Below are 23,609 nucleotides of genomic sequence, written 5' to 3' on the forward strand. Positions count from 1 at the left end.
AAGAAAAGCAGGTGTCCTGCATAAGCCATATTTTTTATACAAAGAGTTTAGGCGCAGTACGCCCCTTTCATCAGTTAGGGAATGGTGGGAGTCCTCCTAAAATCCACATTTCCGTGGACCAGCCAAGGGCCAGCCTTGCCAGCAGCCTTTGTAAGGAGAGCGGGCTCAGGCCTGTGATGCAAACTCTTTTATGCACATTGGCCTTTCAGCCATGATGCTCCTTCTGTGCAAGGGCCCAGGGAAGCAAAAGCAGGCTGGTCAGGAACACAGAGGCAGGTCAGTGTGTTTAGAATTCAGCTGTAGGAAGAATCGTGGAGAGGAAGGAGGTAGAGGTGGAAGTGAGAACAAATTTGCGGCTCTATCACTTGCTAGCTATGTCACATTTAACTTCTCCAAACCTCAGTTTGTTAATATGTAAAATGGGAACAATACCTATCTTATAGGGCTTAATATAAGGTATAAAGCAGAGTGCCCAGATATTTGTTAAAACATAATATGGTGTCTCTTATTATTGGTTTTAAATTGGGGGCCTGATTTAATCTCATTCCCGTTAAAATAACTAACATGAATAGAGGCCTTAGCATGAGCCAGGCGTTGATGTAGGAAAGTGCTTCTCATCGGTGAAGTCATCCCATCCTATGACAGCCCTGTGAGGGACAGACACTCTACCGTGGGCCAGTTTACAGGTGAGACAGCTGAGGCACAGAGCGCGGTGTCCAAGGTCACACAGCTATGGAGGGCTGCGCAAGAATTCGAACCCAGGAAGCCCACCAAAGCATACAAGAAACCAGCTGGATTACAAAATTTCAGTTCATAAGGTAAAGTTTTGAAGCAGTTTTAATCTTCTTCCAGTAACGGCTCTCAACTTTATTCCATCAAATCTCTTTCTACTACATAGCAGGCTCCATCATCAACATTTCAGGCAACTCCATAATTTTTCAGGTACTTTTTGAGTTTTGAAAAATGTTTATTATGGCTAGGAAGACTCAGTCCTGTTCAACCATATTTTAAGCTATCAGCTTCTAACCAATATTAGATTGTGTTACCGACTCAATGCTTGTGCCCTCCCCCGCCCCCAGAATTCCTATGTTGAAGCCCTCGCCCCAAGTATGACGGATTCAGGAGGTGAAGCACTTAGGAGGTGATGAGGCTTAGATGAGGTCACAACGGTGGGGGCCCCCGGGATGGGACTAGTTCCCTTATAAGAAGGGAAAGAAACATCAGAGCTTCCTTTATCCACCATGCAAGGGCACAGCAAGAAGGTGTCCATCTGCAAGACAGGGACAGAGCCCTCACCAGAAACTGAATCTGCAGGCACCTTGATCTGGGACTTGCAGCCTTCAGACCATGAGAAATAAATGTCTGTTGTTTGAGCCACCCAGTCTGTGGCACCTGTTCCACCATCTGAGCTGACACTTACAGATTAGCCATTTGAAGGTCCGGATGGGTAAGAGGATCCTGCTGTCTCATCACCCTCCCACTATCTGGCAAGTATTTCTTCTGTTGCTGAGGTAGAGAGCAGGCGAGAGAGCTCTTTTTCCTTAAGGGATGGCCCCTGGATAACTGGTTGTTTGCTATTGATCTTTAACAACTGTTCCCTATTTGCTCACTTCGTTCCTTTAACACAGATGGGCAGTCTTTTTTTTTTTTTTTTCCCTGAGATGGAGTCTCACTCTGTCACCCAGGCTGGAGTACAGTGGCATGATCTCAGCTCACTGCAACCTCCACCTCCCCGGTTCAAGCTATTCTCCCGTCTCGGCCTCCCAAGTAGCTGGGATTACAGGCACAGGCCACCCGGGTAATTTTTGTATTTTTTTTTTTTTTAGTAGAGATGGGGTTTTGCCATGTTGGCCAGGCTGGTCTTGAACTCCTGACCTCAGGTCATCTGCCCGCCTTGGCCCCCCCAAACTGCTGGGATTACAGGCGTGAGCCACTGCGCCCGGCCCAGTCACTTTCTTCCGTGTCTCCCTGGGTGGGCGACTGCTTCAGGCTCAAGCTCCTCTCCCGTCCTCCAGCTGGGCAGTGCACTCTGCTGCCTCCACCGCTGCTATCCCTCATTTACTCATCAATTTATCTGCTAATAGGGTTACTGGCGAGAGGCTTGAGCTCCAACCACCTTCCATAATGTCCTCTTGACCCATCGGTGACGCCAGCCTCCCCTGCCATGCCCTGGGGACACAAGGCCCTCCACCTGCACTCTCCCAAGCCCAGTGTCTCTTCTCTGCCCCTTGCTGCATCTGGAGCCACTGTGTGTGCTGCTGGGTGGGTGGAGTCATCACTTTCAGACAATTACCCAGGAGGGGCTGCATGGTATGGGGTGGACTGTGCCCTCGGGACGCCCACTGTGGCTGCCATCCAGGCTGCACACAAACATTCCTTCCAGGCCCACACTTTAAAGCGAGGGGTATAACCAGGTGCAGTGGCTCACGCCTCTGATTCCAGCACTTTGGGAGGATGAGGCAGGAGGATCACTTGAGCCCAGGAGTTCAAGACCAGCCTGGCCAACACAGCAAGACCCTATCTCTACAAAAAAATTAAAAAATTAGCTGGCATGGTGGCGCATGCCTATAATTCCAGCTATTCATGAGGCTGAGGCAGGAGAATCATGAGCTCAGGGGGCAGAGGCTGCAGTGAGCTGTGATTGCTTACTGCACTCTAGTCTGGGCAACAGAGCAAGACCCAGTCTCTAAAAAAATCAAGTTAATAAAATAAAAAGTATTAAGTCAGTAGTGGTCCTGAGACTTGCTGCATCCCTGAACTGTGCAGAAGGGCCACATGTCACTTTCAGGTGACAACTTCAAGGGCCGCACGTGTCTCCACTGTGACCACGGGAGCAGGGGCCAGGATACAGCCTCCATCGGCTTGAGTCCCTGAGTGACCCTCCTAAGAGGGGCCCATCCTGCTGACCAGAGCTGAGCACACAGCGTGGGTGAGAAGTACATCTTCTTTGGGTTAAACCGCCTAGAGGTGTCGTAGGGTTTTGTTTGATACAGCATGACATAGCTGATTTCTTGACAGAAAAGAGACAGGGAGAAACAGCCCACACTGCAAATGACAAGTTCCCTTGAGTCAGCCTTTCACCGTGCCTGTCGTTCCTCATGTCTCTAGAGGTAAATGCACTGAATGAGTGCAGCCCGCCTTGCTCCTGGGACACAAGAGTCTTTTATCAAGAAGAAAAAGATCTTCTTTGAACTCAACTTTGTACTCATGAAGTGCTGGAATCCTTCCGCTGTGATAACGACCCGGTCAGGAAAATCATCCCAATGCCCCACAGCGGAAGGCTATTTACCTAAAGAATTTCAAAAGCCAACAGACAGGGATTGGACTGGATTTTGTAGGTATGGACACATTCCAGCCTGGTAACCAGGTACGAATGGACTAGCAGGGTCAGAGGCCTGAGACAGCAAGATCCATCCGAGGACTGGGTGAAATGCAGGTGTGGGGAGAAGCTTCGCTGGTCAACCAGCAACAAGGATGGAGAAAAAAAGTACAAAAGGAAAAAAAATCAAAACTCTGCTTTGACCTAGTTGTGAAAGAAAAATAGAGTGAAAAGCAGTTTGATGATGTCTTTTCTCAGAAGCTGACTAAATAAGTCTTGTCTTGAACTGAAATGCAAAAATAAAAAGGGGCTGTGCTAATAACTATTCTAAAAATTACACCATAATGAAATATGCAAAATACTAAATTATGAATTGATTTTAGTGATCATTATTTGGTGGTTCAGAAGGCAATTTAACATCTCATAACAATCACTCTTAATAATAGCAATTAATAATTAAGCGCGTCTCTATATTTGATCTTCTGCTAAGCTCTCCCCAGGCTTGACCTTTTAAATTCTTAAGGCTGTCTTATGCAATGAGTGCTATGATTATTCCCATTTTGCAGATGAAGACACTGAGGCTTGAAGAAACTAAGTAATTTGCCCAACAGCACCCAGTTAACAAAGGGTCCTCTCCAGTTTCTAAGCCCCAAATTCATGGTCACACCCCCAGGCAGAACTCTGGAGCACTGGCTAAAAACTGTAAGCAGCTGAACCAAAACAGGCTTTCTTCTCCCTTCCATGGTCCTCATATAAGCAAGGAGTAGAATTTGCAAAATACTAATGGGTATTTTGCAACTTTTTAACTATTTTACTTCTATGGCTGATTAGACTGAGTCCACAGTAATTTCTGTCCTTCCTCATTAGTGGTTGCTGGAACCCACGTTCTGAGCCTGCGGTGTTTCCTGCTGTGGCAGTTCACTAAATTAAATTTCAAAACATTCCTTGCCATAGACCCAGACATCCTTAACAAACAAATTCCAGCAAGTCTCAAGTGTAAAAAGGTGTCTGAGGAAGTTCTTGTTTGTCACTGGAAGTTAATCTTTAGCCCCCTCACCTCAGTTAAGTGCATTCCGAGCTAACAGATGCAAAGTGCTTGGAATTATGTTTTTAATGTGAGTATGGAAACTGAGAAAGCACAGCCATTAAAAAATAAAATATGTATAAGCTGCCTGCTACAGCCACTAAGTGATAAAACCATAATCTTCCTAAAGAAATGGGCCACATGTTTGTTTATATTAATGTTAATAACTTGCTAAGTAATGATAAATGTATGATAATTTATTCTAAGTAAAATGAAGTGTGCCCTAAAGACAGACTCTGTAAATGAAAGCTTATGCTCACCCAGTTTAGAGGAGGAACATTAATAACTTATTCTTTTACTGCAATGAGAATGATTGTATGCAAATCATATGCAAAGATACCCACAGTAGCAAAATAAAGGCTAAGCAGGGGGCCTGGGACAGAGAATTATTGGCAGAGGTTCTGTGAAATGATCTCTCACCCTCTTTGCAATGGCTCAGGAATTCATCTCACCGAGCCAGAGAATTTTCCTTAGCTTGTTCTTTGGGCATATTTAAGATTCAGGATTATTAGTCTTTGCTTCTCCATTACATAAATAGAATTAATAAAAGCCGCCTAATGTTATATTGCATACATTTAGAAATCATTAAGCCAAACAATCTTTGTGAATTTAGAAATTATGTAAGTATTATCTTTATAAATAATGTTAACAATTCTGATTTATCCATGTAGATAAACCCCAAATATCTATTAGCATTCACAGCAGTCTTCCTTCCCCTCCCAATATCACAACCATTACCTATTACGTTGGTACAATATGAGCACTCAAATTAAATTCATGTTATTATTTGTGGGAGATATGGTTGGTTGGCTACTCAAAAACATTTTATCCTCCCTGTGGGCTAATGAGAAGTAAGGAAGAAGAGAAGAAAGGGAAGAAAGGGAAGGAAGGAAAGGAAAGAAGGGAGGAAGGAAGGGAGGGAGGGAGGGAGAAGGAAGGGAGGAAAGGAGGGAGGGAGGAAAGGAGGGAGGGAGGGAGGAAAGGAGGGAGGGAGGGAGGAAGAAAAGGAGGGAGGGAGGGAGGGAGGAAAGGAAGGGAGAAAAAAGGGAGGGAGAAGAGAAGGATGAAAGGTATCCTCTAGAGGAAAAAATTATTCCAAGAGAGAAACAGGCAAAATTATCTATCCCAGAGCCATCTGCACCTTGCCTGTGAAAGAGGTGGAAGGGTATAAAGCCATACTGTCACTATGAGGAGGTGGCCGAGGGAATTAATTGCAAGAAGCCAGTGTGAATCTCCAACACCACTGTGCTTCTGAACCAAGGATGCTGGCAGCTACCAACTTCTAGACTTCTTTTTATGTGAGACAAACAAGCCCAAAGATGGCTAAGGCTCTGTTGATTGAATTTTCTGTTACTTGCAGCCAGCAGCATTCCTAGCTGATATGTTATTCCTATAACAAACCAGTGGCATCAAAGCACAATGAGAATCAGAAAATGAAAAAAAAGAAAACCAGAATCATGGTTAGAATAATCGTGGTTATTATAGAGTTCAGTGGCTTTTCTGAAATACGACGGCCACAGGGAGAGGCATCACCCCAGAAAGGGACATCTCCTTCCTCTTCCTCTTCCTCTTCCCGGGAATTTAGGGATGATGGCAATAAGACTTGTGAAATCCAATTCCACTACTGAGTACAGCACAATTTTTCCATGACAAATGTGCTTTTATGGGATTGGCAAGGTGGAGAAGTTGGCACCCAATGCTCCCCTAAGGAATGAGACTAAAGCTTGCCAAGCACACCAGGTCACCCAAACTCAGGGCCTCCTTGTCTACAGAGGTCAATGTCTGTCCTGAGCCACTCCTGGGACAGTCTCCAGACCTGGGGTAACAGCTGAGTCACCTTAGCCCCGTGTTTTCCCTTCCTGCTTCTGCCAGGAAATGCCAGGACTAAGTCTCAGGTGCGAACTGAGATGAGGCTGGAAAGCTTCACTGCAGAGCACAGGAGATGGGGGAGCTTTTGAAGCATCAACCTTGTTCCTGAAATAAGGGTAGGTGATTCTCCACACTTCATCTGAAATCATCCAAAGCCAAGACAGCAAAAAATAAGGGTGTCTTTTCTGAGAAACCCAGAGCTTTTACCATCAATTAGAACGACTCACCCAGGTCAGATCCTGGACTGCTGCAACCAACTGAATCAAATCTCCAGCTAAAACCTCAGGTTTTAAGTTTGTTTGTCTCCTTTCAGGTTATATTTCATTACTTACTTGTGAAAAAGAATCTAGAGTGTGATCTCACTCAGCTCCAAGCCTCTCAGATACAGAGTGGCACAGAGCTCAGGCTCTGAGCTGTTTCCTTAGACACAGTGCATTTGCACCCACACCTGCATCCTCCAACTGCAAATTAAGGCTGATGGCAATATCTACTTCATTCAGTCAATGGAAGGATTGAAGAACCGTATACATACATACACACATACACATACATACAAACATATGTGATACACACACATATCCATCAATACATACACAGCCACATGAGAGAGAGAAAGAGAGACGATAGATGACAACATACACACTCATATATCATCCAGAAGAGCTGTGAAAGGAAAATATCTTGGGCCCTCAAAATCACTAAAAGCTAAAAGGAAAATTCATGCTGAGAACTGCCCAGGACAAACCTGCCTCTCATTCTATTCAAAGTCATCCCTCTGCTCATTCAGACAGAGGCATATTCTGATTGCCTCCTTCGGAAAGGCTTAGTAGAAACTCAAAAGGATGCAAGCTTTCCTCTCTCACCTACCTGTAACCTGGAAGCCCCCTCCCTGCTTCCAATGTCCCTGCCTTTCTGAATGGAACCAGTATCCTTCTTCCATAAATTGATTGATGTCTCCTGTTTCCCTAAAATGTATAAAACCAAGCTGGGCCCCAACCACCTTGGGCACAAGTTGTCAGGACTCCCTGGGGCTGTGTCACAGGCACTCGTCCTTAACTTTGGGAGATAAACCTCCCAAAATGATTGGGCCTTATCTCGTCATTTTTCTCTACGTAGAAAGCACTTTATAAAAGTTAGTTATTATTATTACAACGATTATTTAAAAACTCAAACCTAAGTGTTTAACTCAGGAGTTTCAATAATTGGTGATGGAAAAGTCAACGTAGTTGGGTGTTGAGAAGTGATTTTTCTACTGCATGCTACTCAAATTTCTAAGTCACGAGAATTCAAGTGTTGGAGACACCCCAGGACTCTCCGTCTGGCTCCCCTCCTCCCCTTCCCTCCCTCCTGGGCTCAGGCTAGGAGTTGGCTCCACCCACAGGCAGGCTCTCTCTTTCCAAGCTCCTTCTCTCCAGGCTTCTAGTTTCTAGAAGTTCCACCATGAGTCCTGAAATTGAACCTCATTGGCCTGTTTATTTCTGACCCCCTGGGTCACATACCCTCCTCTGGAGCCAGGAACTGGGACCCAGCCCACTCACCAGCACATCACTGAAGGGGTGAAGAAAGCTGGTTTCCCAAAAGGGAACTCCAGACCCCGATACCCACAGAAGAGAGAACAGACGCTGACATGGGCACTGACAGATGACCCTTTCAAGGCTGGAGTCAGGGTAGACAGCCATTGTCCCTCCCACACATGCACACCACTGAATACGCAAATGCGATTGCGTGTGTCTGCTTCCATCACAAGGCGCAATGATATTTTATATAGAGAGACTGTGGTCTTTGATGCCAAGTGAGTGTGGGTTTGAGAGGCGCTCTGAGGCCCGACAGCTTCTGATCCCGGATGGGGATTATGCGGCCGGTGCCTCGGCTGGCTCAGCCGTGAAAAATAAAACAGGGTGGATTCCAAACGAGACGACACACGTGAATGCTTTAGACCATGACCTAGCGGTTTTCTCTATTATTCTGTATTCTAAGGAATGAATACGCAGTTATAACAATGATTAGCCTCCTGCTTCTAGTTTCAGTAGGAAACAGAGCTGGATTCAGAGCCGACAGACCTCACCAGCTCTCAGCTCTTCTACTGACCAGCAGAAAAACTGAGCAAGCCATTAAACCCAGGGTGCGCATCTTCCAGCCTCCCAACAACCCCCAGGCTGTTTGTGCATGACCTCCAAATAAGCACACGTTGAAGCATTTTTTTTTCTTTTCTTTTTCTTTCTTTCTTTTTCTTTTTTTTTTTTGAGACTGAGTCTTGCTCTGTTGGCAGGCTGGAGTGCAGTAGCACGATCTCAGCTCACTGCAATCTCCACCTCCCGGGTTCCAGAGATCCCCCTGCCTCAGCCTCCCGAGTAGCTGGGACGACAGGCACCTGCCACCATGCCCGGCTCTTTTTTTTTTTTTTTTTTTTTTTTTTGTATTTTAGTAGAGACGAGGTTTCACCATGTTGGCCAGGCTGGTCTCAATCTCCGGACCTCGTGATCCGCCCGTCTCAGCCTCCCAAAGAGCTGGGATTACAGGTGTCAGCCACTGCACCTGGCCGTTTTGTAGCATTTTTAAAGGGTTGGAAGAAGGAACAGGAGGAAGAGATATAGAATAACGGAAAGAAAAGAAGGAGAGGAAAAAGGGGGAGGGAAAGAATGAAAAGGAAGAGGAGGAAGAGAAGATGTAACAGAGGCCACATGTGTTTTACAAATTATATATATACATAAAATATTTTTGTAAAAGGATATATCATAAATATTATATATTATATTCTATAACATGGTATATAACATATCGAATAGGACATATATTTACTACGTAGCTCTTTACAAAAAAGCTTGCAGACCCTGCACTAAACCATGGAGCCTGTTTGTTTATGAAATGGGGAGATGACATCCTCGCAGCTTCCCCCATAGGTCCACTGGGAGCATCAAACAAGATGATGCATATCTGAGTATTTTTGTGGCTTCTGCAGCACTAGGTCCATCCCAGCATGGCCACCTCTGCCTCCTCCCAGGCCTCTGCCCGGCAGGTGAAGGGCTGAGGTGCGCAGGCTCAGAGATAGTCAGGGGACGCTGCAGGCATTTGTTCCATTCCGCCCGTCACTGTTGCCACAAACCCGGCCATGATCTGAGAGGAAGGCTTTCTTTATGGAGCCGTCACTTTTCTGAATCCTGGGGGAGTCCTTCAAAGGCACCGTCTCCAATAATCCCACTTTCACCTGTCAGAGAGCTTGTTTTGAATTCAGTTTCAACCCCTTCAATCCAAGTTCCACCTTGCTAAGAACTAGCAAACTCATTTAACTCTTTCTCGCAATCCCCCTCTACTCCCTACCTTAGCTGGTCACTCTCAGAAAGTCAACCTTGACCTACGGGTTCTTCACACTGATGCCTCTCGCAAATTACAAATGCCTCTGGCCGATGTCCAGACTTTGACCTTGAAGATGCTCGTGCCTGAGTGCAGGCTGTTCTGTGGTTTAGTGTGTGCTCCACACACAACTCTACTTGGCTTTCATAGACCCCGTAGATATTTTTCCAGATAAATTGTCCTCGCATTGATGTGTGACCCATGCAACTGAATTGTTTTTAATGCAGGCCTCAAGTAAGCTACAGTCGGACACACACAAAGGCAAACCTTGTTCCCTTTCTGCCCTTGTAATTCCTTCCTACACCATTAAAGAATATTTCTGGGCTGGGTATGGTGGTTCATGCCTGTAATCCCAGCACTTTGGGAGGCTGAGGTGGGCGGATCATGTGAGCCTAGGAGTTTGAGACCAGCCTGGGCCATGTGGTGAAACCCCATCCCTACAAAAAAATGAAAAACAAAAACAAAAACAAAAACAAAAAACAGCCAGCTGTGGTGGTGTGCACCTGTAGTCCCAGCTACTTGGGAGGAGGAGGTGGGAGGATCGCTTGAGCCCAGGAGTTCGAGGCTGCTGTGAGCTGTGATCACGCCACTGTTCTCCAGCCTGGGCAACAGAGCAAGACCCTATCTCAAAAAAACAAAAAACTCAGAATATTTGTTTCATTTCATTCCTGTTTTTAATGTGAATTTGTGTTTTTCTAAGAATAAAGCTGTACCCATGTGAAATTCACAGCCCATTGCCACAGGCACCGTCCCCAATTTCAGCTCTAGCTTCCACTCCTCTGCCCATGGGCAAGGCATTTAACAAGTCGGTGTCAGTCTACAGGAAACTCCTCTCAAGCAAATAGCATAACTAGGTCTGGGGATCTCGGCTGTTGTTCCTAATGCCTACATGCCTAAAACTATTTTTTTTTTAATTCAAGCATGTCGCATATGAGCAGTACCCAGGATTCCTCACTTTCAAATGTGCTCTCCACAAGATTCTGACACCCAGCCTGGTTGGGGGAATCACTGAGGGGGTGTCATCTCTGTTCTTCCTCCCCAGGAACTTTCGGATCACTGTTCAAGGACTGAGGCCCATCTGCTCCATAAGGGATTGTAACCGAGTGGCCCAGACTTGAAACACATTTTACAGTTTTTCCTTTCCCTTCCTTCTTCATCTCAGAATGTAGCCTGGAAATACACTTTAAGACTTCACTTCCCTCCTTTCCACCAGGCACTCGGATGTGCTATTCTCCCTCCTCCAAGTATGCACTTACTTAGAAATTCTAGGGGCTTGTTTTGAAACAAACCAGTCCCGAGACCCAGCTGCTGCTTAAATGGAGTTATGGACAATTAGTCCACCACCACCATCGGGCCAGCATCAAGATAATGGCAACCAAACCTCAGGACAGGCAATTTCTCAAGATAGCCATTGGAACAGGGCACATGGACCTACACCCCGCCCCCTCCCTCCCATACCACTCCTGCATATCTCCCATACAGTTTTCCTTCCTAAACCCCCTCTCTCAGCCCTGAAAGATGAATGGTCTTTTGAGGACATGAGCCTGACCATGCACCAGCTGCTAGCACTGGAATAAAGCCGCTTTCCTTCCACCACTCCTCGCTTCTGTTCTGGTCCCTGGGCAGTGAGCAGCAGGACCTGAGTCGGTTTCAGGATGAGCACGATTCCTGTGATGAAGGCATCAGGCGGCAGGGCTCACAGTGCAGACCCACAAATGGAACCCCGTCCACAGAGGGCTCAGGCCAGCACAGCGTCTTAAAATCATCTGAATCTCACCATTTTGAAGTGGAAACCACATGCTCTATTCCCCACAGGCTGCACATTGGGCCGTTTTATTCATCAGGAACTTGGGGCATGGTGGATGGAACCTATGAGCTTTTTGGTATCTGAACAAGAACTGATAAAGATGGTAAATGGATACTATGGAGAATTGAACAGAAGGGAGAGGAACAAACAGCAACGTGCCCAGATCTTAGGAAACACATGCTTACTGAATGAAGCAGGTAAAAAAGGAAGCCAGGATAGAGTGTAACATCAGCCGTATGCACTAGGACACATGCCCACATGGCCATCTGTCTTTATTTTACAAAGACACGGGATATTTGAGGCTCAATAGCAAAGGCATTAGGATCGGCACCCATGGGAGATGAGAAACAGCCCTAGTGCAAGGAGATGCAAGAAAAGTAGAAAATACAGCAAGGAAAGGGCTTTGCTGGGGTTAATGACAGTCTGTCCTCAAACTGTTAGGTTAACTCAATTTTCTGTCCATGAGGTTTTGGGGTTTTGAGGGGTTCGTCTTTGTTTTTGTTTTGAGATAGGATCTTACTTTGTCACCCAGGCTGAAGTGCAGTGGCGTGATCTTGGCTCACTGAAGCTTCGACCTCCTAGGTTCAAGCGATCCTCCTGCCTCAGCCCCTCAAGTAGCTGGGATTACAAACAAGCGCCACCAGGTCCGGCTAATTGTTTTATTTTTAGTAGAGACAAGGTTTCACCATGTTGTCCAGGCTAGTCTCGAACTCCTGACCTCAAATGATCCACCTGCCTCGGACTCCCAAAGTGCTGGGATTACAGGCGTGAGCTACCACACCGAGCCTGTGCATGAGGTTTTAAAAAATCATGCGCAAAAAAGACTGTAATATGAAAAATTATTATGTTGGTTGTAAAATGCTAAATCCTTGAAATGTATAGTATAGTTGTGTGATTAAACGGGGCAGGGACATCTGTGGCACACCTAATACTCACGCGCCTTCCCATATTTTCCCCAATGCCTTGCAGGGATGAGTCCCTGGGACCAGCTATGCTCCTACTCACTCTGAGCAGAAATGATCCAGCCCCTTCATTGCTGGAGCACCTCAGAGCTTCAGTCTGACCCTCTAGGGGCTCTCTTCCCCACCATGGGAAGGTGTGGAGCCCTCCTGGGCCAGATGGTACAACTCCCAGATGCTCAAGCTTCCATCAGCCTGTTCCCTGAGCAGCAGGACTCCACTGTCTTGTACTAAACATATAACTGAAATGAGAAATACAACTCTGTTATGTCCTGGGATGTCCCAGTACCCAGCACATCCTAATACTCCCAGCTCATGTAACTGTGTCAATGCATCAATTGCCATTGATTGGTTATATATTTACCTGTTAGTCATGTTTCATATGGAGTGTGAGTGCATGTCACATGTTTAATATGACTGTGATGGAGCCTCTCAAAGGAAGGATGGTTAGATCTTACAATCCTTTAAAAATCCTTTAAAAAGCTCTGTCTGCTCCAACTACCATTTCACATCTGGCTTAATCCTCCAGTCTAATGTGCTCCCTGACCTCTGCAGACATTTGGAGCTGAGACCTTGTGATCTCAGCATCCTCTTGAGACAGGAGAGAGAGAGAGTTCTCCATCAGCTGAGTCTCAGTATCTCTGCAGTGTTTCCTATGATCAGCAGAATTGGTATTTGTTAACTAAATGATTCTGATAACTAAGTGGATTGCTTGTGTCTCCAGGAATGCAGAGTGTGTGTGTGTGTGTGTGTGCGCGCGTGTGTGTGTGTACCCCGAATACTGAGAGAATGTCATATTACCCAAGTATATGCTACATTTCATAAATGTAAAGATGTATACATTAGCTCTTTATTAAGTAAAAGTAGTGTTTCTATAACAACATAATGGCACTACCTTCCTTCTATGTGCATAAAATAAACATCTCCCATGAATCATTAAATCATAAAAAGGGCCCCCAAAACCATAAAAAGAGATGAATTACTGCAGTAAAATGACTCTCTAGGTGTGTGTTGATATTTACACACACAGCTACTAAAATCCAGCAGTCTGAGGCAACGATTATTGTACAGTACTTATATCTCTACAAACTTAAAGATTTGGACAGCTTGTTAAAAAACACATTGTAGCTATAGCCATTTACAGACTAATTAAGGCAATCATTAACAAATCTATCCCTCTAATTGATTCCAAATTTTGCAAAGCAAAGAAGAAAATGTAAATGAAAAAGAAATCTATTCTTAACCTACAGGAGAAAGGAATTAGGTTCAAAGACACTCTCTAGGAAACGGAAACCATGACACGTTTGTTGTCGATAAACAGCGCTGTATGTGACCACTGCCACTTAAAGGAATGTATTCCAGAAATAATTATGTAATCCAGGCAGTAACATATGTGTTACCCAAGTCTAGTAATTATTTTTTTATAGATGCTGCTTGCATTATTTAAAATATGCATGTTTGTGGAAAGTATTTTGTGACAATTTTCTTTGTTGACATCTCCCTAAAAGAATTTATTCTCAAGGATATTCCCTTTTCATGGGAAGTAAGCCTGGAAATACCAAAACTAAACACAGGTCCACGGTGCTATTTACAAGGCAGAGAGTCCTGTACTGAAGATCTTAGTACAAAATTCACACGTCCAGATGAATTTTGTTAAGTTGCTAGGTTTACAAACAATTGCTTTTTAAAACTTTCTACAGTTGCAGGTAAAATACAAACAAAAGACACGCACATACACAAAAAAGAACAGCACCTTTATCTTCCTCAATGAGGCAACTTCTCCAAATAGAAGGATTTATGCTTTAAAAGGTGAAAACCAAGGAGAAGTAATTTATTCCCACTCCAAACTTGCTCAGACCTTTCTAATAGTGATTTTCCCCCACCAAATGAAAAGCTTGCTTTCAATGTCTTCGATCTGCTGTTAACATTTTTAACCCAAAACGTAAACGCAGATGATTTACTTCCCAACCACACACCCATGTCTCTCTCAGAATGAATGAGCTACAGCATCACAATAGTTCCTGGACTTCCTGCCTCTCCGGAGCCCACGAAATATACATGAAATGGTTTCGTGCCACCTGCAAATGAAAAAGTCAAATAAAATTTATAGTTTGGAGGCAGATTTCCAAAAACCCTGGAACGGCTAAGTTAATACATCTGTCATATATAATTACACACAAAATGTAATCCAAAACATCTATTTTTTTCTTTCTCTCTTCAGACAAGAATAAAGCAATTGCCCAGACCTGAGCTTAAATAGCTGCCCCACCAAACAACGATATTCACCTCTGACGTTTTCATGCACCAATAAAATTTGATCATTCAACGTGCTTTTCAGGAGCAGTTGCTCTCTCCATTACACAAACTGCTGCACTGGATTCCTGGTCTTTTTAAAGGATGACCATAAATCAGGATTAAAAGCCACAGGTGAGCTGCTGTTAACTCAGAATGTCCACACTGTCTTTCCTAAATCACTCATCAACCCAGGTATGACCAAGGAAAAAGGACTGCCCAAGGTATGCTCTAGAATAGAAAGCGTCTTTCCAACTCTCTTCCGAAAAATCTGAAAGACTGCATTTATGGTCTAGATGCAATTTGAGAGAATGCAACGGTTCCTTATCTGGAAAGAGAGAGACAAAACATTTATAAAACTTTGTCTGTCAGAGCGGCCAGTTCAGGCATTGCACTTTTCCCTACATCTGATTCCTTAGTTACTTAAATTTTAGATTGCCTAACCCCCTTCCACTGAATCCAAAGAAAGAGGAGTAAGAAAAGACAGGCTTAACACAGATGTGGCTCTGTAACTGTTGGTTAAACTGGGTAAAAAATATTTGTGCCATATATGATCAAGTGTTATTTTAAATATAGAAAGAGCTGTTAGAAAGTAATCAAAAAGAGAAATACCCTAACATTGAAAAATAGTATTCATAGGATATGAATAGGAAAGAGTGATTCTCCAAAGAAAAAATGCCAGCGGCAAACAAGAACACTATTTAACCTAGTAGTAATCAAAGACAAGCAAATTAAAAGACTAATGAGATATTCTTTTTTCCCCTTAATTATAAAACTTACTGTTGGCAAGGGAACAAGGTAACTGATATTCCACACACTGCTATATTCCATTTAGCAGTATAAACTGCTGTCATTTTTTGGAGGTCAGTTAAGAATAGGAACTTTTAAACTTAAAACTCTTTTTTTTTTTTTTTTGAGACGAAGTCTCCCTCTGTTGCCCAGACTGGAGTGCAGTGGTGCAATCTCAGCTCACTGCAACCTCCACCACCGGTTTTGAGAGATTCTCCTTCCTCGGCTTCCCAATTAGCTGGGATTACAGGCGTCCACCACCACGCCTGGCTAATTTTTTTTTTTTTTTTTTTTTTTTTTTTTTTTGAGATGGAATCTCGCACTGTCGCCTGGGCTAGAGTACAGTGATGCGATCTCAGCCCCGCAACCTTCGCCTCCTGGTTTCAAGCAATTCTTCTGCCTCAGCCTCCCGAGCAGCTGGGATTACAGGTGTGTGCCACCATGCCTGGCTATTTTGTATTTTTAGTAAAAACGGGGTTTCACTATGTTGGCCAAGCTGGTCTCGAACTCCTGACCTTGTGATCCGCCTGCCTCGGCCTCCCAAAGTACTGGGATTACAGGTGTGAGCCACCGTACCCGGCCCTAATTTTTGTATTTTTAGTAGAGACAGGGTTTCACCATGTTGGCCAGGCTAGTCTTGAACTCCTGACCTCAGGTGATCCGCCTGCCTCAGCCTCCCAAAGTGCTGGGATTATAGACATGATCCACTGTGCCCGGCCTTAAACTTCAAACTCTTAAAGTACATAGGTAGTTTTGGCCCCAGGAATTCCCCTTCTGGGAATATGCCTTAAAAAAAGACTGAGCATATTTTTAAAAACATATATGAATATAAGGAGAGCTATCACAGCACACTATTGAAAACACTACAAACACTGAACCAGTCCATAGCAGGTCACTTGGAAGACCTGAAGGGAAAGAGAATAGGAGCTTCAACAGAGGCGATCCGGATCCAAAGGAACCACTGGGTGCTGTGCGGTTACGTCTGAGGCCATCACCCGCTGCAGAGCCAAGCCTGCGGCGACTGGGAGGTGAGGTGAGCGCTCATCAAACCCAGCTCCCACACAGAACGTCCGTGAGTGTCTGATTCACACAGGGTTCATGCAGTGTGTCACTCCCTGGCATCTACACTCCTCTTTGCTAAACTCAAATGCACCCCTGATCAGTAAAAACTATTTTAATACACCCCCTAAATATGTGTATTATTACACCTATGAATGTACTAATATATTATGTACATTAAAAAATATGACCTCAATTTTTTAAGTGTTTAGGATACAATGTAAATTACATATAAATCAAAGCTCTGTTTTCCTTGCACACACCCTGGGTGAGAGACCGCCGCTCCCGGAGGCTCTTCGTCCTCTGCAGAACACACCTGGGGTGGTGAAAGGTGTCGGCTGAAGCATGGAGCACATCCTCCGGGCTCCCCAGTGACCTTGGGCACTGCCCCCCAACAGAGCTTCAGGCCCCTCCCCCACTATGGCCCCGAGGATGCCCCTCCCAGCCTGTCTGAGGAGTCATGCCAAGTCCCTGGCACCCAGGGTTAAATTCCTTCATTTGAGCACACGTCCGGCGGCCCTTCATTGTAAGCTCTCAGTAAACGGTTCCCCGGAAATTAAAATACAAAAATTCTCCAACTTCAATCCATGAAATGAATTATAATTAGAGAAAAATAAAATATGTTTTAGTTTTAATTTTCTATAATCTTAAAAAATATTTATGTATCTATCTTTTATGTCTCCGAGAAGGCACACACAGAAAGTAAAAAGCCCAGGGCGGGGGCTGCGCAGCCTGCCCTCAGGCCTTCCTCCAGCAAGGAGGCTCCCAGTGCGGCCGCCCGCTTCCCAGGCCAACTCCAGACTGTGTTCCAGTCCCACCCTGGCAGCCTGGGCAACACCAGCGAGCTTCTGAAGCCACTAGCACCTCAGTTCCTCATCCTCAAACATCAAACAAGGACCCCCGCCTCATGGGATTTGTAACAATTAAATAAGACAATACTCGAATGCAATGGTTGCTTAATGCTTAATAAATATAGCATTAAAAGCTTAATAAGGAAAGCATGAAATGCTTAATAATTATCACCTAGAATGGTTATCGTCACTGATGACTAAATTTAAGAACAATCATTAGCTGAGTGTGCTGTTTGGTTACAGAACTGGGGGAGTCTCTGGCAGAGTATAGATTAAGTGTATTCAACTTTGTCACAATAAAATGTAAAAAGAATCAAATTTTGGCACTGCGGATGCATAAACACGCAGAGTTAACACATTACATATTAAATACTATATCTGACATGTGCGCACCCCTGTGTATATACATAATTCTACTTTTTTAAAGCCTCAACAATGGAGTTACCAAAAGTTTTCAGCGTGCTCTCTACTATCCTTTTCCCCCTTGGAGAGCATCAAATCTCAAAAGGAAGAAAGAAAAGATTCACATAATTCTAAAAAAATCTATTTCTAAGATTAAAAAAGAAAAAAAAAAGAAATTGCCATAGGTGGTTGCTTCCAAGCCCTCGTAAGATTGTCTAATTAGATTGAATGAGTTTTTATTTCATTCATTCGGGGCTGAGACATGATGAAATCCCAGTTTAATCAACCCTTGGTCCCAGGGCTGCTCAGAAAAAAACTTTTCCTCAAAGCCATGAACTTCTGCCAAGAGCGTGTTAATTTTAGCTTCTGTATTTCCTTCTTCCCTCTGTAATAGTAATGAGGTGCACTGAAATGTTAATATTACTTGGGATGTTCATTTAAACTCTTTCTTAAACTTTTGCCCTAAGTTCTCTTTTTCTAATAGGCAAAGTGATGTTTTGCCAAGCGAGAGGCACAGATGGAGAACTCAACGACGAAGTTGTGAAGGTGAATGCGTCACTGCTAAAATATTAATTGTATTTAAATGAGAATGTCCTCTCTTTTCCCCAAAATACCAAAGCAATCAACTCAGGAATAGTCTACTGAATAAATGGGTTCTAGTCCTTTTAATAAAAATAAAATTAATATATAAGAAAATTAAGTAATAATAGTAATGGCTGATATTCGTTGAGCACCTCCTAAGAGCCAGCCCTTGCTCTAAGCACTCGTGGTTTTCGTGTTTTTTTTTTTTTTTGAGACGGAGTCTCGGTCTGTCCCCCAGGCTGGAGTACAGTGGCGCGATCTCGGCTCACTGCAAGCTCTGCCTCCTGGTTTCACGCCATTCTCCTGCCTCAGCCTCCTGAGTAGCTGGGACTACAGGCGCCCACCACCACGCCCGGCTAATTTTTTTTTTTTTTTTTTTTTTTTGTATTTTTAGTAGAGATGGGGTTTCACCTTGTTAGCCAGGATGGTCTCGATCTCCTGACCTTGTGATCCACCCGCCTCGGCCTCCCAAAGTGCTGGGATGACAGGCGTGAGCCACCGCGCCCGGCCAGCACTCCTGTGTTTTCACCTGGATGTCTGACCCCACAATTGCAACATCTCATTTTCCCAAAGTGATGGAGACCCCTGGGGACAGACACAGAGATTTCAGGTGGTTTAAACGCTGGCATTCAATAGGACTGGGTCGTTCTGTGAAGAAATTATTCTCTTTCCGATGTCTTGCCAATCCTACTGATGCCATTGAGGCAGAAATATTTCTTTTTTTTTTGGTTTTGTTTTATATTTGTTTTGAGATAGAGTCCTGCTCTGTTTCCCAGGCTGGAGTGCAGTAGTGTGATCTTATCTCACTGCAGCCTCAGCCTCCTGGGCTCAAGCACTCCTCCCACCTCAGACTCCTGAGGAGCTGGGACTACAGGCACATGACACCATGCCCAGCTTATTTTTTAATTTTCTGCAGAGACAGGGTCTCACCATGTTGCCCAGGCGGGTCTAGAACTCCTGGGCTCAAGCGATCCTCCAGCCTTGACCTCCCAAAGAGCTGAGATTTCAGGCGAGGGAGAGATTCCTGCTTCCTGCTGGTGTATCTTTAATTTCCCCAGCATTGCCGATCTCCCCTTTCAGTGGACACAGAGCAGGACACGGTATCTGCTAAGAGACGAGTCATCCTGTTTGCTTTTGTTGTGTTCAATTTTTAGCCTCTATTTTTCATAAATAATCCTGGCTTTCCACTTATATTAGTTATGTAAAATTTTATGATAAAATATTTTATTATTGAAAAAGTGTCTCATTACAAAAGAGAACATTCAGCAAATAATAGTACTGTTGGTTCCAGATATGGCAAAAAACGTAAAACACAAATGAGTTAAGTTTGGAAGTCTCTAACAATGTTACGAATATAGTATATTCTGTAAATAGTACTGCCTGTAAGATGTTGTTTAACTCTAACAGTATTTTTTTCAATATACTTGCCCATAGAGCCCACTTTTTGAAGGAGAATCTCCAGTGTGTCTGATCCACATAAGACTGTTTTCCAAAATAAAAAAACATTTTAATAAAAAAAGAATATGACCAAATAATAGATTAAGAATTTTCAGAAAGCCTCAATTAGAAGATAAATCTATCTAAAATATTAGAGTTTATAAATACGTTGTCAAATATTTACTAGATTCTTCCTCATATAGACCATGTCAAATTTATGACACGATTCCACCCCATAAGTGATCATAATTGCATCGAATCACAAGACATAAATCAAACACATGGAATGTAGAATGCAAAAATGATTTATTGAAAACCACTACACGCTAAATGATATTGACAGATTATTTATGCAATCAAAAACAAAAAGGATCAAAATAACCTGCAGAAACAAAAATAAGCAAACAATCTCAAGAGGTGCTGACCTTGTACGAGCGGAAACAGGGACACAGGCAGGAAGGGACCTTCACAGTATTAGAGTCTATAATACAAATACATCACATTTGTAACAACAACAAAAAATACCAGCTACTCAAAAAACTACTACTGACACACTAACAAAATAGATATTGAAAGACACTTTCACTACCATCTAACTGACCTCTCCCTGAACCTATCAGAACTTATCAAATGGCCAGGCATGATGGCTCATGCTTATAATTCCAGCACCTTGAGAGGCCGAGGTGGGGGGATTGCTTGAGCCCAGGAGTTCAGGGCCAGCCTGGGCAATATAGTAAGACCCTGTGTCTACAAAAATTAAAAAAAAAATTTTTTTAATTAGTTGGGTGTGGTGGTGTGTGCCTGTAGTTATAACTACATGGGAGGCTGAGGCAGGAAGATCACTTGAGCCCAGGAGGTCAAGACTGCAGTGAGCCATGATCATGCCACTGCACTCCAGCCTGGGTGGCAGAGTGAGACTCTGTCTCGGAAACCAACAAATAAAAAGAACTTATGAAGTGCCATGGAACAGGCATTCTTCCATTGGGTCAATGCTAGCCCGCATATTTCAACACATCTGAAGAGGGGATAAATCTTATGAATGACACTTATTTTTAATGACATACAATAACTTATGCCAATTCATCTTTACATGCTTGAAACAATTGAGGGAAGGGGGAAGGAGAGAGAGCTTGCATGAGAAGCATATAATCTGAAGAAGAGGTGAGCCTGCAAGTCACTCTGCCAGGTGGGCATTTGACCTGGAGTGTGTGTGAGATGAGGTCTCATGCCTACCCCCTCCACTCTCCGGATCCCCCATATCTCTTGTAGTGTATCTTGCCAAGACAAATGTAATCCCAATGTTTAGGGAGATTATTCATCACTATTAAAGATTCCAGCAATTTCACGGATGTTCATCTGAACAGACAAAGCTCATCGGGTTTAAAAGAAAATCTTGCAGTGCTGGACTTTCTAAGCAAAGCCTGTGAGCCCTTATGCACCTCTAAATAATGAGAAGAACGATGCTGTGCTTGGAGAAATTTCTTCAGTGTAAGCAGGTGTCTGAAGGCCACAGTAGTGAAATCAATGCTTTCAGTTCCAACAGAATCATAACCTCTCCCTTATATGGTCCCAGAACTCATCTTTTGCATTGTCAAGGGGCTGAATCACAGTCCTTAATGAACTAGTAACAATAGGATTTTGAGTCATAAAATCCACTTTCCATTTTGGCTTGGAGTGGTGGAGGTCACACTAAGCACCATCCATTTGAAGGAAGGATAGAGTCACCTATTCATGAGACAGGAGGGATTTCAAAACATCTGGTGATGATTATGCTCTATAATCAGCTGACATTTCTACTTCCTTTACCTCTGATGCAAGTGCAATGAGATCCAACCAACTCCCACGGAGCCAGCTGGTAAAATAATTAAAGTGCTACCTTACCCTGTGTTTTCAAAACGAGAAGTTTACCTTTTGGTGTACAGAGAAACGGTGATTTTATTTCAATATCTAGAAGAAAAACATACGTACTCAAGGGAAATAACATGAAATTAATATGTATGGATACATATATTTAAAATACGCATACCAAGTAAATCTGTTTTGTGGCTAATATCCCAGGGCTAACTAATAATCAAAACAACACTTCCCTATAAGAATGTTTAAATGCAGATTTATGTTCCTGAGAAATGTTATAGCCTAAGAGGAACTTCTAAAGGCAGATAAAACCTGAATGTCTTTCTTTGTGCCGCTGTTTTAGAGGTATCAAGAGCAACATGTTTTACATTAGTCAGAAATAAATAACAACAAAACCATTCACAACCTTTTTGGGAAATGAAACACGTCTGAGACGGAAAGGGCCACGCTTGCAATACTATACTTGCTCTTTCTCTTACTACATGGAAATTCTAGAGATACTGACTGTGTTTAAATATTATCCTACAAAAGCCCCTCAGCTGCCCCACTGGTAAGGTCTGTCTCAAAATTTCATTACAAGTTCATATTAGATTTAACCCAAATTAAAGTGATTCTCAAAGCAAAATCACTATTATAAACAGTATCTAGTAAAATTCAAATCAAAATGACACAGGGCAGATAAGCCCCAAAATTGGGGCTTAACCCAGGAGGGTTCTTGGCATTGCCCAGGAAAGAATTCAAGGGTGAGCCAGTGGTAACTTTTACTGAAGCAGCAGTGAACAGCAGCAGCAGAGGTCCTGCCCCTGGCAGAGCAGGGCTGCTCCACAGGCCGTGCTCCCAGAGCAGCAACTCAGAGGCAGCTCTGCAGTCGTACTGATACCCACTTTTAATTACATGCAAATTAAGGGGCAAGTTATGCAGCAATTTCTAGAAATAGAGTAGTAACTTCCAGGTCATTGGGTCGTTGCCATGGAAAGGGGAGGCAGCTTTTGGGTGTTACCATGGCAATGATAAACCAACATGGACTGGTGGGCATTTCTTATGGGGAGGTGCTTTTGCCTTGTCCCTGTTTCAGGTAGTCTTCAATCTGGTCCACAGCCCAAGCCCCACTTCTGGAGTCAAGTCTCACCTCCTACCTCAAACTGACCTAAGTTTATCTAATTATTACTCTGTGTGATCAATTTTCATTTAATTACCCATGCACTTATCATGGCCTTTCATTCATTCCTGCATTTGCATGCTTTCTTAGAGCTGGTTTTCCTTCTATTTGAAAATGCCTTTAGCATCTCTTTCACTGAAGGCTGACTAAGTCAAAGTCTTTCTGGTTGGTTTTTCAAAAATACTATTATTTAGTCTTCATTTTTAAAGAATATATTTTCTATATATAGAATTCTAGGTCCTTGGGTTCTCTTCATCTTAAACACATCACTCCATTGTCTTCTGAATGTCATTATTTCTGTTCAAAAGTCAACTTTAATCTTATTGTTGCTTTCTTTTACGTTAATTGTCATTTTCCTCTTTTTAGCAAGTCCGTTATGATATACCCAGGTGTGATTTCCTTTACGGCTGGACATCATATCACTTCTTGAATCTGTGGCTTGATGTTGCTCACTAGCTTTGGAAAATTCTCTGTTTCTCTCTTTCATCTTTGCTCTTGAGAATATATTCTCCTGACCTGTATTCCAGTTCACTCATTCTAATATTCTCTTAAGCCAAAGTATTATATTTTTAACTTTGGTTATTCTATTATTCAGTTCTAGAATTTTTATTTGATTCTTTGTATATATTTTAATTTCCTGCTAATCTTGTCATGTTTCCTTTTATTGATTTATTATAGTTATTTTTAAATCCACTATGAAAATTCCAGTATCTGGATCATCCATGAGTCGACTTCTGCCCCCTCTCCCTTGGCCTTAGTTTCTTGTATGCCTGGGAAACTTTTCCACTGGACACC

At 43.3% G+C, this 23,609-nt stretch overlaps 1 protein-coding gene across 1 annotated transcript in view, besides 1 other annotated feature; it reads right to left on the reverse strand.

Moving 5' to 3' along the window:
- Positions 1 to 23,609, reverse strand: part of TMEM132D (transmembrane protein 132D) — an 832,300-nt gene that overhangs the window by 751,648 nt on the left and 57,043 nt on the right. The window lies entirely within an intron of this gene.
- Positions 4,100 to 4,601: an enhancer, noted in NCBI's record as "NANOG hESC enhancer chr12:130312018-130312519 (GRCh37/hg19 assembly coordinates)". NCBI's record gives its function as "activates a minimal SCP1, AML or CMV promoter by ChIP-STARR-seq in primed H9 embryonic stem cells {active_cell/tissue: H9 hESC(primed)}" and the evidence as "EXISTENCE:reporter gene assay evidence [ECO:0000049][PMID:30033119]".

This window comes from Homo sapiens, chromosome 12 (genome assembly GCF_000001405.40).
Source record: "Homo sapiens chromosome 12, GRCh38.p14 Primary Assembly".
NCBI lineage: Eukaryota > Metazoa > Chordata > Mammalia > Primates > Hominidae > Homo > Homo sapiens.